This window comes from Homo sapiens, chromosome 8, assembly GCF_000001405.40.
Source record: "Homo sapiens chromosome 8, GRCh38.p14 Primary Assembly".
Lineage (NCBI taxonomy): Eukaryota > Metazoa > Chordata > Mammalia > Primates > Hominidae > Homo > Homo sapiens.
In genome coordinates, this window is record NC_000008.11 from 28,670,356 (window position 1) to 28,689,022 (window position 18,667).

The 18,667-nt window shown below is 43.8% G+C and overlaps 1 protein-coding gene across 8 annotated transcripts in view; it reads left to right on the plus strand.

Moving 5' to 3' along the window:
- The window catches only part of EXTL3 (exostosin like glycosyltransferase 3), a 148,827-nt gene that overhangs the window by 62,620 nt on the left and 67,540 nt on the right, over positions 1-18,667 (plus strand). For 2 of the 8 annotated variants that reach the window (NM_001438753.1, NM_001438751.1), the window contains one exon: positions 15,535-15,653. The exons of 5 other annotated variants lie outside the window; for them this stretch is intronic. The gene's annotated coding sequence lies outside the window, so the exon portion shown is untranslated. Of the gene's footprint in view, positions 1-15,530; positions 15,654-18,667 lie in introns of those variants that run through there. One more of the 8 variants, XM_047421515.1, reaches the window with a different exon arrangement.

The window sequence follows — 18,667 nt, forward strand, 5'->3', positions numbered from 1 at the left end:
AACAGATCCAACAGAGTATGTGAGTGTATAAAGATTTAGTATAGAATTGACTCACACAATTATGAAGGCTGACAAGTCCCAGGATTTGCAGTTGGATGGCTGGAGACCCAGAAGGGCTGGTGATGTAAATTCTAGTTCGAAAACCAGCAGGCTTGAGACTCAAGAAGAGCTGATGTGTCCGTGCAAGTCTGAAGGAAGAGGTGATGTCTCAGTTCAAGTCAGAAGGAAGAAGCGATGTCTCAGTTCAAGTCTAAAGGCAGGAAACAGCTGATGTCAACTGTGATGCTCAACAGTGAGGCAGGAGTTCTTTCATACTCAGCCATTTTGTTCTAGTCAGGTCTTCAACTGTTTGGATGAGGCCCAAGCACAGCAGGCTTTACTCAGTCTCTCGATTCCAATGTTAATGTCATCCCCAGACACCTGAATAACGTCTGACCCAATGTTTGGACACTCCTGACCCAATCAAGCTGACACATAAAATTAGCCATCACAAAGTGCCTCCTCCTCAATATCATTTTGGTATTTGGGTAGTCCCTTCAACTGTCTGAAACATAAAGGAGAGAATAGAATGAGAGCAAATCTTTACTCCCTTTCCTGATAGCACCATAGCTTCTGTTTTTTTTTTTTAATTAATTTATTTTTTGAGACGGAGTCTTGCTCTGTCACCTAGGCTGGAGTGCAGTGGCACAATCTTGGCTCACTGCAGCCTCCGCCTCCCGGGTTGAAGCGATTCTCCTGCCTCTGCCTCGCCAGTAGTTGGGATTACAGGTGTGTGCTACCACGCCCAGCTAATTTTTTGTATTTTTAGTAGAGACGGAGTTTCACCATGTTGGCTAGGCTAGTCTTGAACTCCTGACCTCAGGTGATATGCCCACCTTGGCCTCCCAAAGTGCTGGGATTACAGGCATGAGCCACTGTGCCTGGCCTAATTTTATTTTTATGTTTTGTTTTTTGTTTTTTTTTTTTTTTTTTTTGAGACCGACTCTCTCTCTGTTGCCTAGGCTGGAGTGCAGTGTCACGATCTCTGCTCACTCTCTCCTCCGCAACCTCTCAAGATTTCGGCAACCTCTGCCTCCTGAGTTCAAGCGATTCTTGTGCTTCAACCTCTGGAGTAGGTGAGATTACAGGTGTGTGCCACCATGCCTGGCTAATTTTTGTGTTTTTAGTAGAGATGGGGTTTCACCATGTTGGCCAGGCTGGTCTTGAACTCCTGACCTCAGGTGGTCACCTGCTTTCGCCTCCCAAAGTGCTGGGATTACAGGCATGAGCCTCCATGCCCAGCCCATAGCTCCTATTTTAATTGTACCTGTAAATGTTGGCTGCCCCCTTTAATCAAACTCACCCCATGTTAATGCATCAGTCACTAAACTAGGATAAAGGTAGGAGTTACTGAAATGCTGCTTTCCACTGGCACCACTTTGTGAGGAAAAGGGAACCCTAGAAAAATAACATTGTGGGCATGATTTCTTTATCGTACGGTGAATTCAGCCTTGCAGTGATTTTTTCAGAGATGAACAGAATTTAAAGTGTTAGAACTCATTTGGGAGGCTAAGGCAGGTAAAGTGCTTGAGCCCAGGAGTTTGAGACAAGGCTGGGTAACATAATGAGAACCCTGTCTCTACAAACAAAACAAAAACTTATGTTCCTCCGCTTTCCCAACATTTAACTTTTACATACACAGTTGATGTTTTCATCCCTTAAGTAGCAAAGAGGAGATGGAGGTTGCTGAAGTGTGTAATTGTGATAACTGTTTGCTTTCCTTAGAATATGGTTTTCTGGCCAGGAGCGTTTGGTGCACGCCTGTAATCCCAGCAGTTTGGGAGGCCAAGGTGGGTGGATCACGTGAGGTCAGGAGATCGAGACCATCCTGGCTAACATGGTGAAACCCTGTCTCTACTAAAAATACAAAAAAATTAGCCGGGCATGGTGGTGGGCACCTATAGTCCCAGCTACTCGGGAGGCTGAGGCAGGAGAATGGCATGAAACCAGGAGGCGGAGCTTGCAGTGAGCCGAGATCGTGCCACTGCACTCCAGTCTGGGCAACCGAGCGAGACTCCTTCTCGGGGTGGGGGGGCGGGGGGAGAAAGAAAAAAAATAATATGGTTTTATTAAGGGAGATCAGATTAGCTTCTCTTGGCTGTGAAGATTGTCAGGTGTAGCAATTGTACTCTTGAATTTACTGGTTCTCAAAGTGTATTCCTTTGATCAGCATCAATATCACCTGGGGATTTGTTAGCACTAGGAAATCTCAGGTCCCATCCAAAACCGACTAAATCAGAAACTCTAGGGGTGGACCCTAGAAATCTGCATTGTAACAAGCCACCCAGGTGACTCTGATGCATGCCCATGTTTCAGAATCACGGACTGAGTATATTTGCTGTGTAGTTGCTTGGTGGTGATGTATGCATCTTGAAATTGACCTAAAACCTAGAAAGGTAACCGATATGGTTTGGCTGTGTCCCCATCCAAATCTCATCTTGAATTGTGGCTTCCACAATTCTCACGTGTCATGGGAGGGACCCGGTGGGAGGTAATTGAATCGGGGGGTGGGTCTTCCCTGTGCAGTTCTTGAGATAGAGAGATCTGATGGTTTTATAAAGGGGAGTTTCCCTGCACAAACTCTCATTTGCTCTTGCCTGTGGCCATGTAAGATGTGCCTTTAGCCTTCCACCACGATTGTGAGGCCTCCTCAGCCACATGGAACTGTGAGTCCATTAAACCTCTTTCTTTATAAATTACCCAGTCTTGGGTATGTCTTTATCAGCAACCTGAAAATGGACTAATAGAGTAAGCAGAATTCTAGAGAACTTCAAAACTGTATAGATGACACTCTTCCTTTTAGCAGGCATTTTCATCACTGTGTGGTTGCTCAGTTTAGTCATATGCCCATGAAATGGTTAATTTTATCTGTCAACTTGACTAGCCATGGGATACCCAGAATAAACATTATTTCCTGATGTGTCTTTGCGGGTGTTTCTGGCTAAGATTGACATTGGATTCTGTAAAGTAGATTGCCTTCCCTAATGTGAGCAGGCATCATCTGATCGATGGAGGGCCTGAAGAGAACAAAAGGCAGAGGAAGAAGGAGTTTGCCCTGTTTTGGTTTCCTGCCTGCCTGCTTGAGCTGGAACATCTCCAGACTGGGATTTACACACCGTTGGTTCCCTGGTTCTCAGGACTTTGGATGCAGACTTAATTATACCATGAGCTTTCCTGGGTCTCTGGCTTACAGAAAGGCTGGTCATGGGACTTACTATCCATAATCGTGTGAGTCAATTCCTTACAATTAATCAATCCCTCTCTCTTTTTCATTGTGTCTTTGAGAGTGTTTGTGGATGAGACTAGCTCTCTGTATCTATCTATATACAGGACCAGAAGGAGATATCTGGAGATATCTCTATGTCTATCTATATATAGAGATATCTCCTTCTTGTTCTGTTTCTCTGGAAAACTTTGTATAGATTTTGGCACTGAGAGTGCTTCTAGAGGAGCAGAATTTTAAGGATGAATTTTCTGAACTGGTTCTGGGGTTTCTAGAATTGGCTCTCTAATCTGATTAGATTTAAAGGCACTAATGACTGTATTTCCAGTAGTAAAAAGAGTGCTAATAGTCCATAACGTGAGCTGTTTGTAGAGATACACAGAATACTGTGTTGGATACTCCTAATCAACCAACTATAGAATCAATGAGCTCAGTAATGTTATATATGATACCTTTTGTTTGTTTGTTTGTTTGTTTTCTGAGGTAGAGTCTTACTCTGTCACCCCAGCTGGAGTGCAGTAGCACAATCATGGCTCACTGCAGCCTTGACTGCTTAGGCTCAAGTGATCCTCCCACATCAGCTTCCTGAGTAGCTGGGACTACAGGTATGTGCCACTTTGCCCAGCTTTTTTTTTTTAGAGACAAGGGTCTTGCCATGTGGCCCAGGCTGTTCTCAAACTCCTGGGCTCAAGTGATCCTCCCACTTTGGCCTCCCAAAATGCTGGGATTACAGGTGTGAGCCACCATGCCTGGCTTATATATGATACTTTCGAACATTTTGGAAAATGAATGAATATAATGATGTTGGTTGGAACCCTAATGTCATGCTGGTGGAAGGAAAGGATGAGGTCAGGGATTCACATTCCTAGTTCATGCACCACAAAAATGACCTAGGAACTTTTATGTGTGCCCTGAGGGAGACCTTTATTTACTGTACAGAAGGGCGGAAATTGCTGAAAGTCAAATGCAGAACCTCATCCTGCAAGTGGCTGAATTACAACGCAAGTTGAACTCACAGCTTTGCAGGCTATGTGCAGTTAAAGTGAGAGCATTAATTGGGAAAGAATGGGATCTTGCAAGTTGGGATGGGGATGTTTGGGAAAACTTTGATAAAGCTGAGGACATTGAGCCCCTAAATTCTGATGTCTCCTTTATCAGTGAAGGAGCACTCCCACCTTTGCTTCCCAACAACCCCAGCAACAGTGGCATTCCCAACCCTCAGTGGTATTGGTCTTTCCACCTCTGAGAGGATGAAGCCTGCATTGCCTGAGGAAATAGTAATGGCCTCCCCTGAGGCAGGTGCTGAGCAACACAATGTTGAACTCCTCAGGACCCACCCCACCACTCCTCTTTGTTAGACTTCAGTCCAGCAGCCCCTGAAGATGAGGTACACTGTGTGACTGGCCCATAAGAGGTGTGCTGCACTCCACTGAACTACTTGACTTTTTAAATTTCTACAGACAGAAATTCAGGGAATGTGTATGGGAATGGATACTATGAGTGTGGGATAATGGTGGTGAGGAGAGCAAAGATCACCTGGGAGAGGCACCAAACAGTCCATCCAGAGGCCAAACTCCTCAGCTGAGGGATTTAGAAATAAGAGATTCCCTATGATCTAAAGCAGGCATCTGGTATGGGCTGCTTTCTCCAAAATGTATAAATAACTAGAATTTCTATACATCTCCAGAATGCATGCATGTCGAAACTCATCGTGCAACACTTGCTGACATCAAGGCACCAAAATGTCTACAAATGTAATCATGTATCATGACCTCTGTGGTCAGTATAGTCCAATTACCGTTAAGCTCCCTCTTTAAGATTCATAAATACCCCTAAGGAAAAGTCCACTGCAGCACGCTCGGTCCTCTCTTGCAGTAGTGCCCAGCTACACTCTTCTATCTAATAAAACTGTCTTTTTCTAACCTATACTGTTGTCAGTAAATTCTTCTTACTACCCTACTACCCATGAGCTGACCACTTTCTGATGCTGGGGCTCTGACACTTCACCCAGTAGGTGGAAGGAACATAAAGTTGGATGGGGCTGAATGTTTTGACATGGGCTCACTAAGCAGGGATTCTCCATTTAGCGTTGCAGCTTTGGGCGTTAGAAAATGTTGAATCTGGCTGGGCGCGGCAGCTCATGCCTGTAATCCCAGCACTTTGGGAGGCCAAGGCGGTCAGATCACTTGAGGTCAGGAGTTCGAGACCAGCCTGACCAACATGGTGAAACCCCATCTCTACTAAAAATACAAAAATTAGCTGGGTGCGGTGGTGCACGCCTGTAATCCCAGCTGCTTGGGAGGCTGAGGCTGGAGAATCGCTTGAACCTGGGAGGCGGAGGTTGCAGTGAGCCAAGATCATGCCACTGCTCTCCAGCCTGGGTGACAGAGTGAGACTCCATCTCAAAAAAAAAAAAAAAAAGAAGAAAAAAGGAAGTGTTGAATCTGATTGGTTGGTTGGCTGGCTGAAACATAGACTCAAAGGTGGTCCACGTGAGTGAACTGGAGATGGTGGACATGTCTTGGTTTAATGTGGAGGAAGGGATTCAAAGACTTAAGGGACTGGCAGTTACAGTGCAATTGTCATTTGAGGCCTACTCACCCACCCTGGGAGGGTCTAGAAGGCATACATTTCATCAAGAATGTGAGAAATAAATATATGAGGGGTGCCCTGGCATCCTTGAAGAGCTCTGTGATTGCTCTTGTCTATAGGCCAGACCTTGTGGTGTGCACTTCAGTCAGTGAACTGGGAAGCATAAAGGCAGTGGGTGTAGCTGGATCCCAGGGTGGCAGGCGCCAAGGGGGTGGCAAAGCTGTCACACAACCCAGATTATTGACATTGATGCAGAGTGGGTTTAGGAGATACTAAGTTGGTTTTAGACATAGTTTAGAGAACTGTGCAACATTTTGGTAAACAAGTCCAGAAAGCAACTGGACATTCTTAGGGCTCAGAGAAAGAGGTCTGGGATAGAGACATAAATTTGAGAACCACTGGTATAAACCTATGTTAAAACACACAAATAACCAAATCAACCTTTGGTGGATGAGATCACGTAGGGAAATGATTGAGTGCAATGAAGCCAAGGCCCAGGACAGAGCCCTGGGGAAGGTGCACACCTTAAAGGGACAGAGGAAGATCGCCCAAAGTGGTGACCAGAGACAGGAAGTAGAGGCAGTGCTTCTCAGACCCCCGTGTGCCTAAGCATCACCTGGAGAGTGTGTTGAAACAGATTCTTGGACCCCACCCACAGAGATTCGGATTCAGTAGGTCTGGGTGAGCGTGAGAACTGCATTTCAAATCTGGCTTCCCTGGGATGCTGGTGCTGCTGGTCTGCAGACCATGCTTTGGGTAGCACTGGAATAGGCTCGTCTCTTGGCTACAAAGAGAAGGGAAGAGAGTGAGCATTTGAGGGTAGCTGGAAGTTTCTGAGGATGTAAGAAACTTGTACATGTTTATAGGTCGAGGTGAAGGAGGCAGTAGAGACAGGGAGAAGTTGAACATCCTGGAGAGAAAAGGGATAATTAATGAAGGAAATGCATGGAAGGGATTAGAGGAAAAAGAAAATGAAAGCACCAGAGATGTGCATGGTAAAAATATCAAAGAGCTATGGTGCCTGCTTTTAGAAAACTAAAGCCGCTTTGAGGAAGATGATTTCTTGTCACTTCCCGTCCTTTTATTATTTTTTTAAAAATCTAACTCCTTGGAGCCGCTATTTACTTGTACCTTTCTGACTCCCCCACTGTGCCTAGGAGCCTTTGTCTCTCTGCCAAAATACTCCCAGGGCTGTAACTTCCGAGTACAGAGACCTAAAGGGATGACTCGCTACAGATGACTGAACAGTAATGAATAGATTTTCGACAACACAAGGCATTTCAAGGATAAAGGAAAATTTCAAAAAACGTATGATCATTATTGCAAAATTGTGTTTCTACCACTTCTTGCTAGAATTGCTGTCAAGCTGTTTGACAGCTCCCCTGGGACATCACTCTCTGGCATTGCAATCATTGTGAAGCACAAAGACACAGCTCGCTCTCCTCTGTTCACTAAAGCTGCTTCTGTATAGCCTCAGAGCCCTCTGACAAACTAGAAAAGCATCAAAAATCACTTTGTTCTGTTACGAAAAAAAAACACAACCACCCCAATAATAGCTGTGAGCAGCTATCTGCCTGTGTGCTGCACACTCTGAGTTCAAGACAACAAAATTTATTGAGGGCTTGTAATAGAACAAGCACCAGGAGAGGTGCTGGGATCCAAAGATTAGTAAAATACTGTTGGGATTCTGAGAGGTCCTTCATCTTCTTCTCTCTTTTGAGTCCTGAACCAAATGGTACAGTCACAGGAATCAGACTGGGTTTAAAATGTCAGCTTGATTGCTACTGAAGCTGGCCTGGAGAAGGTGGCTTGGATCCAAGGCCAAAACAGGCTTCTCATTTCTTTCTCCATGAATTGAACTTGACCTTGGTCATAGGCATAGTCGCCGGAAACTGCTGTATCTGCTGCTGAGTGGAGGAGAGAAGAAGGCACGTGGCCTGTGGGCAGACATCTACAAAAGAGGAATTCAAAGGCAGCCTGAGTGGTGAGTGTGCAGTGACCCTGCACCTAGTCTCATCGATCACACACTGAATTGTTTTCTTCTACAAGGAAGAGTAAGTCAGCAGAGTACGCAGAGAGAAGGATGGATGCTGAGATAGTTTGGATGTCTGTCCCCTCCAAATCTCATGTTGAAATTCGATTCCCAATGTTGGAGGTGAAGCCTAATGAGAGATGCTTGGGTAATGGGGGTGGATCATTTAGGAATAGATTAATGGTAGAAGGAGTGGGTGAGTTCTCACTCTATTAGTTTCTGAGAGAACTGGTGTTAAAAAGAGCCTGGCACCCCTCTCCCCTCTCTCTTTGCTTTTTCTCTCTCCATGTGATCTCTGCACACGCTGGCTCCCCTTCAACTTCCCCCATGAGTGAAAGCAGCCTGAGACCCTCACCAGATGCAGATGCTGGTGGCATGCTTTTTGTGCAGCCTGCAGAACCACGAGCCAAATAAACCTTTTTTTCTTTATAAATTAATTACCCAGCCTTTGTAGCAACACAAATGGACTAAGACAGATGCCATCGCTTCAATACTGTGGAGAAGAGAAAGTTTCCTAGCTTCTTGATCAAAACAAGCATGGGGAGAAGGGAAAAGCATGATTTCCCCTATATGTTCCAACTGTTTGGTGTCTTAGCCCATGGGTTTTAAAGTAAAACCTCTGGCCAACTAAGGATGGGCTGCCCTCCTGCACTGTGTGTAGTGGAAGTGATAAAACAAATACCAGGGGTTGCAATCCTAGGCATCAATGGCAAATTCAGCTCCAACTTTCATGAGGCCTCTCCCTTATACCAGCTTCTTTGTGCATCTGCCTGGGACCAGGGGTGGACTTTCCAGTCTTGCCTGCAGAAGGTTCTGTAAAGACACAGAACAGTACATTGAGTAGATTAATGCCAGCACTGTTCTATGCTCCAAACCAAAGGGTCATTTTCTATTCTTGTTCCCGTTTTAAGAATGTCCAGTCTAGGCCAGGCGTGCCGGTTCACGCCTGTTATCCCAGCACTTTGGGAGGCTGAGGCGGGCAGATCACGAGGTCAAGAGATCGAGACCATCCTGGCTAACATGGTGAAATCCCGTCTCTACTAAAAATACAAAAATTATCTGAGTGTGGTGGCGCGTGCCTGTAGTCCCAGCTACTCGGGAGGCTAAGGCGGGAGAATCGCTTGAACCTGGGAGGCAGAGGTTACAGTGAACCAAGATCGTGCCACTACACTCCAGCCTGGTGACAGAGCAAGATGCTGTCTCAAAAAAAAGAATGTCCAGTCTGGTGGCTCATGCTTATAATTCCAGCACTTTGGGAGGCCAAGGTGGGAGGATTCATTGAGGGCAGGCATTCAAGAGCAGCCTGGGCAACACAGGGAGACCCTGTTTCTACAAAAAACTAAACATAGCTAGGTGTCGTGAGGCACTCATGTAGTCCCATCTATGCAGGAGGATCGCTTGAGCCCAGGAGTTCAAGGCTGCAGTGAGCTATGATCATGCCACTGCATTCCAGCTTGAGTGACAAAGCAAGACCCGACCCTACCTCTTAAAAAAAAAAAAAAAAAGAATGTCCAGCCTTGTTTACTATGATCCTAAATTGTAGCATATTAGTACTCTAATAATGCCATGCCAGGAAAATAATACTGCCCTGAATTAGGATACTTGTCTCACTATTCAATTCCAAAAGGCAATTTAAGTTCTTGCATCAAGAAGCTGTCAGTCTAATAGAATAAGACAAATGCTTAAACCAATAATTACAACTCAATCCAGGCTTTTTATAGTAAAAGTAAAAACATTTACAGCAGCTTAAACCAAGCAGCATTAGTTCTTTTTTATTTTTTGAAAAGCAAGCTAGAATTTAATATTTGTGCTTTTTTTTTTTCCGGTGTAAGACAAATACTATTGCCTTAAAAAAGAAGGAATTCCTCAGCCGGGCTCGGTGGCTTATGCCTATAATCCCAGCACTTTGGGAGGCCAAGGCGGGCAGATCACCTGAGGTCAGGAGTTCAAGACCAGCCTGGCCAACATGGTGAAGCCCCATCTCTACAAAAATACAAAAATTAGCTGGGCATGATGGCAGGTGCCTGTAATCCCAGCTACTCCGAGGCTGAGGCAGGAGAATCACTTGAACCTGGGAGGTGGAGGTTGCAGTGAGCCAAGATCACACCATTGCACTCCAGCCTGGGCAACACAGACTCTGTCTCAAAAAAAAAAAAAAAAAAAACAGCATACTATTTATTTCTTCTTTTCTTTATCCCAGCTTTATTAGTGTGTAACTGATAAATAAAAGTTGTGTATATTTACAGGGTATGACATGATGTTTTATGTACACATTGTAAAATGATTAAATCAAATGAATTAACACATCCATCACCTCACATACTTATTTGTGTGTGTGTGTGGTGAGAACATTTAAGATCAATCTCTTAGCAATTTATAAATATACATTAATTATAGTCACCATGCTGTACAGCAGATCTCCGGAACTAATTGATCCTAACTGCAACTTGGTACCCTTTGACTAACATCTCCCCATACCCCCAGTCCTCACAACCACCATTCTATTCTCTACTTTTATGAGTTTGACTTATTTAGATTCTACATATAAGTGAGATCAATGCAGTATTTGTCTTTCTGTGCCTGGCTTATTTCACTTAGCATAATGTCTCTAGGTTCATCCTTGTTGTTACAAATGATAAGATTTCCTTCTTTTTGAGACAAAGTCTCACTCTGTCGCCCAGGCTGGAGTGCGGTGACACGATCTCAGCTCACTGCAACCTCCGCCGCCTGGGTTCAAGCGATTCTCCTGCCTCAGCCTCCTGAGTAGCTGGGATTACAGGCACCCACCACCATGCCTGGCTAATTTTTGTATTTTTAGTAGAGACGGTTTCACCATGTTGGCCAGGCTGGTCTCAAACTCCTGACCTTGTGATCCGCCCACCTCGGCCTCCCACAGTGCTGGGATACAGGCGTGAGCCACTGCGCCTTGCCAATTTTCCTTCTTTTTTATAAGGCTGAATAGTATTCCAATTTTAAAAATTCATGCATCCCAGACAGACACACTGGCTCACGCCTGTAATCCCAGCACTTTGGGCGGCTGAGGCAGGCAGATCACCTGAGGTCAGGAGTTCCAGACCAGCCTGGCCAACATTGTGAAACCCTGTCTCTACTAAAAATAGCAAAAAAATTAGCTGGGCATGGTGGCACGTGTCTGTAATTCCAGCTATTCAGGTAGCTGAAACATGAGAATCATTTGAACCCTGGAGGCAGAGGTTGCAGTGAGCTGAGATTGTGTCACTGCACTCCAGCCTGGATGACAGAGCGAGACTCTGTCTCAAAAAATAAATAAAATTCATGCATCCCTTGATAGACACTCGGGTTGATTTCATATTTTGGCTATTGTAAATAGCACTGCAATGAACAAGAGAGTGCAGATATATCTTTAACATGCTGATTTCATTTCCTTTGGGTAAATACTACAGACGTGCGATTGCTGGGTCATATGGTAGTTCTATTTTTAATTTTTTGAGGAGTCTCCATACTGTTTTTCCATAATGATTGTGCCATGTCCCATTCTTATCAACAATATAGGCTGGGCATGGTAGCTCACGCCTGTAATCCCAGCACTTTAGGAGGCTGAGGCAGGCGGATTACCAGAGGTTGGGAATTCGAGACCAGCCTGACCAACATGGAGAAACCCTGTCTCTACTAAAAATACAAAATTAGCCAGGCGTGGTGGCACATGCCTGTAGTCCCAGTTCCAGCTACTCGGGAGGCTGAGGCAGGAGAATCGCTTGAACCCGGGAGGTGGAGGTTGCGGTGAGCTGAGATTGCACTATTGCACTCCAGTCTGGGCAACAAGAGCGAAACTCCGTCTCAAACAACAACAATATATAAGGTTTGCTTTTTTTTACGTCTACATCAACATTTGTTTTCTTTTTGATAATGGCTATTCTAACAGGTGTGAGATGATATTTCATTGTGGTTTTAATTTGCATTTTCCTAATGATTAGCGAAGTTGAGCATTTTTTTGTATATGTATATACTTGTTGGCCATTTTTGCATATTTTTTGAGAAATATCTGTTCAGGTCCTTTGCTCATTTTTAAATTGGGTTATTAGTTTCCTTGCTGTTGAGTTGAGTTCTTATATATTTCGGCTATTAACCCCTTATCAGATGTATGGTTTGCAAATATTTTCTCCCATTCTGTAGGTTGTCTCTTCACTGTTGATTGTTTCCTTTGCTGTGCAGCAGCTTTTTATTTTTATTTTATTTTTTTGAGATGGAGTCTTGCTCTGTTGCCCAGGCTGGAGTGCAATTGTGCGATCTCGGCTCACTGCAACCACTGCTTCCCAGGATCAAGCGATTCTCCTGCCTCAGCCTCCCAAGTAGCTGGGACTACAGGCGTGTGCCACCATGCCTGGCTAATTTTTTGTATTTCTAGTAGAGATGAGGTTTCACCATGTTGGCCAGGCTGGTCCTAAACTCCTGACCTCAAGTGATGCCCCCACCTTGGCCTCCCAAAGTGCTGGGATTACAGGCACGAGTCACTGCACCCAGGCTGCGGCAGCTTTTTAGTCTGATGCAATCCCATTTGTCTATTTTTGCTTTTGTTGCCTGTGTTTTAGGGTCATATCCAAAAAATCATTGCCCAAACCAATGTCAAGAAGCTTTTCTCCTGTGTTTTCTTCTAGTAGTTTTACAGCTTCAGGTTTTGTGTTTAAGTCTTTAATCTACTTTGAATTCATTTTTGTATATTGTGTGAGATAAAGGTCTAATTTCATTCTTTTGAATGTGGATATCCAGTTTTCCCAGTGCCATTTATTGAAAAGACTCTCTTTTTCCCGTTGTATGTTCTCAGTACTTTTGTGGAAGAGCAATTGACTATAAATGTGTGGATTTATTTCTGGGCTCTCTATTCTGTTCCATTGGTCTATGTGTCTGTTTTCATAGCAGTACCATGCTATTTTGATTGCTGTAGCTTTGCAGTATATTTTGAAATCAGGTCGTGATGTGTTCTTTTCATTCAAGATTGTTTTGGCTATTCAGGGTCTTTTGTGTTTTCATATGGACTTTAGGATTATTTTTTCTATTTTTATGAAAAATGTCATTGGAATTTGGATAGGGATTGCATGGAATCTGTAGATCACTTTAGTAATATGATCATTTTAACAACATTAATTTTTCCATTCAATGAACAAAGGATATTTTTCCATTTATTTGTGTCTGTAATTTCTTTCATTGATTTTTTGGGGGGATATCTGTCACCTCAAACATTTATCCTTTATGTTTCAAACAATCCAATTATACTCTTTTAGTTATTTTAAAATGTACAATAAATTATTGCTGTTGGCCGGGTGAGGTAGCTCACACCTGTAATCCCAGCACTTTGGGAGGCCGAGGCAGGTGGATCACAAGGTCAGGAGATCGAGACCATCCTGGCTAACATGGTGAAACCCTGTCTCTACTAAAAATACAAAAAATTAGGCGTAGTGGCACGCGCCTGTAGTCCCAGCTACTCAGGAGGCTGAGGCAGGAGAATGGCGAGAACCCAGGAGGCGGAGCTTGCAGTGAGCTGAGATTGCCCCACTGCACTCCAGCCTGGGCCACAGTGTGAGACTCCGTCTCAAAAAAAAAAAAATTATTGCTGTCTATAGTCACCCTGTTGTGCTATCAAATACTAGATCTTATTCATTGTTTCTAACTATATTTTTGTGCCCATTAACCATCCCCCCTTTCCCCCACCGCTGCCCTTTCTAGCCTCAGGTAACCATTGTTGTTCTACTCTCTACTCCATGAATTCAGTTGTTTTAATTCTTAGCTCCCACAAATACGTGAGACCGTGAAGTTTGTCTTTTTGTGCCTGGCTAATTTCATTTAACATAATCACCTCTGTTTCTATCCATGTTGCTGCAGGTGACAGGGTCTCATTTTTATATGGTGGAATAGTCCTCCCTTGTGTATATGCACCACATTTTCCTTATCTGTTTGTCTACTGGTGAACACTTAGGTTGCTTCCAAATCTTGGCTATTGTGAATAGTGCCTCAGTTAAACATGGGAGTGCAGCTACCTTTTTGATATACTGATTTTCTTTCTTTTGAGTATATACCCAGCAGTGGGATTGGTGGATCATATGGTAGTTCTATTTTTAGTTTTTTGAGGAACCTCAAAACTCTTCACAGTGGTTGTACTATCTATCATCAGTGCTTTTTGGTTTTCAGAAGGCATTATTTCTATCTGAGGTGGTTCTGTAAAAATATTTTTTTATTTTCAGTGGGCACGATGCATGATGGCTCACCCTTGTAATCCCAGTACTTTGGGAGGCTGAGGTGGGAGGATTGCTTGAGGATAGGAGTTGGAGACCAGCTTGGGCAACACAGCAAGACCTGTTTCTATAGAAAATAAAAAATGTTGCTGGGTATGGTGGTACATGGCTGTAGTCCCAGCTACTCGGGAGGCTGGGGTAAGAGGGTCACTTGAACCGAGGAATTTGAGGCTGCAGTGAGCTGTGATTTTGGCACTGCACTGCAGCCTGGGCAACAGAGTGAGACCCTGCCTCAGAAAAAATATTTTTTAAAAAAGTTAATTTTGAAAACATTTCAAACGTGCAGAAAAGTTGTAAAAGTGGTAAATCTTAATACAGATTTATCAATTGTTAAAATTTTGCTATATTTTTTCTCTCTCTAGACACACATACGAACACAGACTATTTATCTGAAACATTTTAAAGTTGCACATATCATGATCCTTTGCCCTTAAATAACAATAATGTTGTGTTTTTTTTTCTGAGATGGAGTCTTGCTCTGTCCCCCAGGCTGGAGTGCAGTGCCACAGTCACAGCTCACTGCAACTTCTGTCTCCTGGGTTCAAGCGATTCTCCTGCCTCAGCCTCCTGAGTAGCTGGGATTACAGGCACGTGCCACCACGCCTAGCTAATTTTTATATTTTAAGTAGAGGTGGAGTTTCACCATGTTGGCCAGGCTGGTCTTGAACTCCTGACATCGTGATCCACCCACCTCGGCCTCCCAAAGTGCTGGGATTACAGGCGTGAGCCACCATGCCCAGCCAAGTAATGTATTTTATAGCAGTTTTTTTTAATGCCAATTTAACATCCAATCCAGGATCACACATCGCATTTAGCTCTCATGTTTGTCTTCTCTAATCTTGAACGTTTCTTCAGCTTCCCCTTCTTTCTTCCTGTCTCCCTTTTCCTTCCTCCCCCCTCCCCTTCTCCCTCTTCCTCCTTTCCTTCCTTCTGCCCTTGCTTTTTTTGACGACATTGACATTTTTAAAACATAGGCTAGTTGTTTGGCCCTGTTGTACAGGCTGGAGTGAAGTGGCAGGATCATAACTCACTGTAATCTTGAGCTCCTGGGCTCAAGTGATCCTCCTGCCTCCGCTTCCTAAAGGGCTGGGATTACAGGCACAAACCACCCTGCCCGTCCTTTCTTTTTTCTTTTGAAATATTTTCAAATTTACAGAAATGTTGCCAGAATTATATGGCATTTTGCAAGTTTTTTGTACATTTGAAATTTTTACCCAGATTCACCAGTTTTTGATGTTTTGCCACATCCACATTTTAGCACTTTTTCTCTCTCTCTTCCTTTGTGTGTGTGTATATATGTATATTATGTATGTGTGTGTGTATATATATACATATTTTATATTTTTATTTATTTTTTATTTTTATTTTTTTTCTTGAGACAGAGTCTTGTCTTGTCACTCAAGCTGGAGTGCAGTGGCACCATCTCGCCTCACCTACAACCTCCGCCTCCCGGGTTCAAGCAATTCTCCTGCCTCAGCCTCCTGAGTAGCTGGGATTACAGGTGACTGCCACCATGCCCAGTTAATGTTTGTATTTCTAGTAGAGATGGGGTTTCACCATGTTTTTCAGGTTGGTCTCTAACTCCTGACCTCAAGTGATTTGCTTGCCTTGGCCTTCCAAAGTGCTGGGATTACAGGCGTGAGCCACGGTGCCTGGCCTATGTTTGCGTATATGTAAAAAATAGTTTTAAAAAATTGAACCAGGCCAGGTGCAGAGGCTCACACTTGTAATCCCAGCATTTTGGGAGGCTGACATGGGGGTGGATCACTTGAGCCCAGGAGTTCAAGACCAGCCTGAGCAACATAACAGTATCCTCTCTCTCTCTCAAAAAAAAAAAAAAGAAAAGAAAAAAATTGAACCACTTAAGAATAGGTATCACCCTTTATATGATAGTTTTTGAAGTGGGCCTTGAGGTTCTTGCCAATTGGACAGAACTTGGTGTGGGGAAGGGAATTAGTCAAAGGGCTCTTCATGTGTGGAGATTAAGCCCGTATGTACATGAAGTGGCTGGCAAAAAGCCAATGTTTTGGAGTAAATGGGCTTGGGGAGCAGGGACCAGAAAGGCAGCTGGAACTTACCACTTATGTTAAGGAATTGAGACTTCATTCCACAGGAAAAAAGAAAACGTTGAAGGTTTTAAAGCCAGCGATGATAGTACCAGATTTATTTATTTATTTATTTTAGAAAAATTAACTCTAGGGCAATTAGGAGGAGAAAGGACAAGATAGACCAAGTAGGTAGATATTGCATTCCACCCGGTAGCAATGGAGACCCAAAGGAAGGGGATGCAGCGGAATGTTTGTTGAGTGCTTACTGTGTGCCAGCTATTTTACATATGATATCTCATTTAATTATCACAAAAAGCTGAGGTCAGAGAGGTTAAGTCACTTGACCAAAAACAGTCATTAGTAGGTTTATGGCATAGTTAATATTTGAACCCAGGCCCATGTGACTCTAAAGCCCACTCTGAAATACAGTGGGGTCATGTAGGATGGAGCAGGACTCGGGGAAGCCATGAGACTTTGAGGTGGGACTGTCAGGCCCTGATAGCCAGTTGGACATGCTGGGTGAGGGAGATATAAGGATAACAACTGATGTTTCCAGCTTGGACTCCTGGCTAGACTATAACAATGACATTCCAGTCCAAGCTGGAAACTTGAGAAAATGATTAGTAGGGGCTGGTTGCGGTGGCTCACGCCTGTAATCCCAGCACTTTGGGAGGCCAAGGTGGATGGATCACTTGAGGTCAGGAGTTCGTAACCAGCCTGGCCAAGACAGTGAAACCTCGCCTCTACTTAAAATACAAAAATTAGCCAGGTGCAGCGGCATGCGCCTGTAATCCCAGCTACTTGGGAGGCTGAGGCAGGAGAATCGCTTGAACCCAGGAGGTGGAGGTTGCAGTGAGCCGAGATCACACCACTGCACTCCAGCCTGGGCAACAGAGCGAGACTCCATCTCAAAAAGGAAAAAAAGAAAATGATTACTAGGGAAGGGAAAGAATTGGGGAAGGGAGAGAAAATAATGATTTAGTTAATAGTCTCTATAAATTTGGTTTGGATGACTGTGAAAACCTTAGACAATAAATTTAGTGGACAGTTTGGCTCAAGAGCTCAGAAGGAAGGTCTGGGCTAAAGATAGAGATTTGGCTGCTGAAGTCTTAGAAGTGTTCACCTAGTGATAAAAAGATGGCTAAGGGTGGAGACCCAGACACACAAGCATTTAAGGGATGGTGGAGAATTAAGACTTAATGAAAGAAAAGAGAAAGGATGGGGAGAGGCAATGCCATGCAAAGCAAAGACTGGACCATTTCAAGAAGGTGAGTGACTAGGTCTGTTAAATTCTAAAGAAGAGTTCCAAAGGCCTGAAAGATTAAGTGGGATAACGAATTTAGGAAGTTGCTGGTTCTTTTTTTCATTTTGTGTTTTCATTTGTTTTTTCTATAACCTCATATTAGAAGTGATCACTGGTTATCTTAATGAGAGCAGTTTCAGTAAATTGACAGCAGCCAGCCCCCCAGGGATTAAAGAGTGAATGACAGTAGAGAAGAGATGACTTTTTTTTTTTTTTTTTTGAGACGGAGTTTCGCTTTTGTCACCCAGGCTGGAGTGCAGTGGCACGATCTTGGCTCACTGCAACCTCTGCCTCCCAGGTTCAAGCAATTCTCCTGTCTCAGCCTCCCAAGTAGCTGGGATTACAGGTGCCTGCCACCACACCTGGCTAATTTTTTTTGTATTTTTAGTAGAGACGGGGTTTCACCATGTTGGCCAGGCTGGTCTCGAACTCCTGACCTCAGGTGATCCGTCCACCTTGGCCTCCTAAAGTCCTGGGATTACAGGCATGAGCCACTGTGCCCAGCCTGAGATGACTCAAGAATTTGGGCAAATGATGATGATGACAGCAGTTGATGTTAGTGAAGGCTTACTGTATACCAGGCCCTGGACTAACAATTTACATGCATTATCTGGGATAATCCTTACACTACTCCTATGGGTAGGTACCATTATTATCCCCATGTTCTGATGAGGAAATTGTAGTGGAGAGAGTATAGAGAGGTTATGTAATATGCCCAGGGTGTTCCACCATGAATACATAGTGGAACAAGGATTCAAATCTAAATCTTTCTGGGTTCAGAGCCCGTGTTGTAAGATGATGGTAGCTTGAGCTGAGTTATTCTCTTATTTTCCCCAGGCCTGAGACTGAACCTGTTTATAAGCAGAATGGGGGTAAAACGCTATAGTAAGGAGGTTATTGACCATGTATGTAGCAAAGAGAATAACTGATCAAGCAAGAGTTAAAGGAAGGATATTAGATCACATTCAAAAATGGAGCACCTAGTTTCAGAAAGGAGTTAAGGACATCTCTTTGTCAAGGGCCGGAAGAGATGAAAGAAGAATCAGTGAATATGTACTCAGCTGTCAGCTTAAGGCAACATTCTTTTCTGAGATTTAAGTAACATTGGCTTAAGTCCCCATTCTGCATCCATTGGGAAACTCAATCCAAGATTTCTGTGAATTC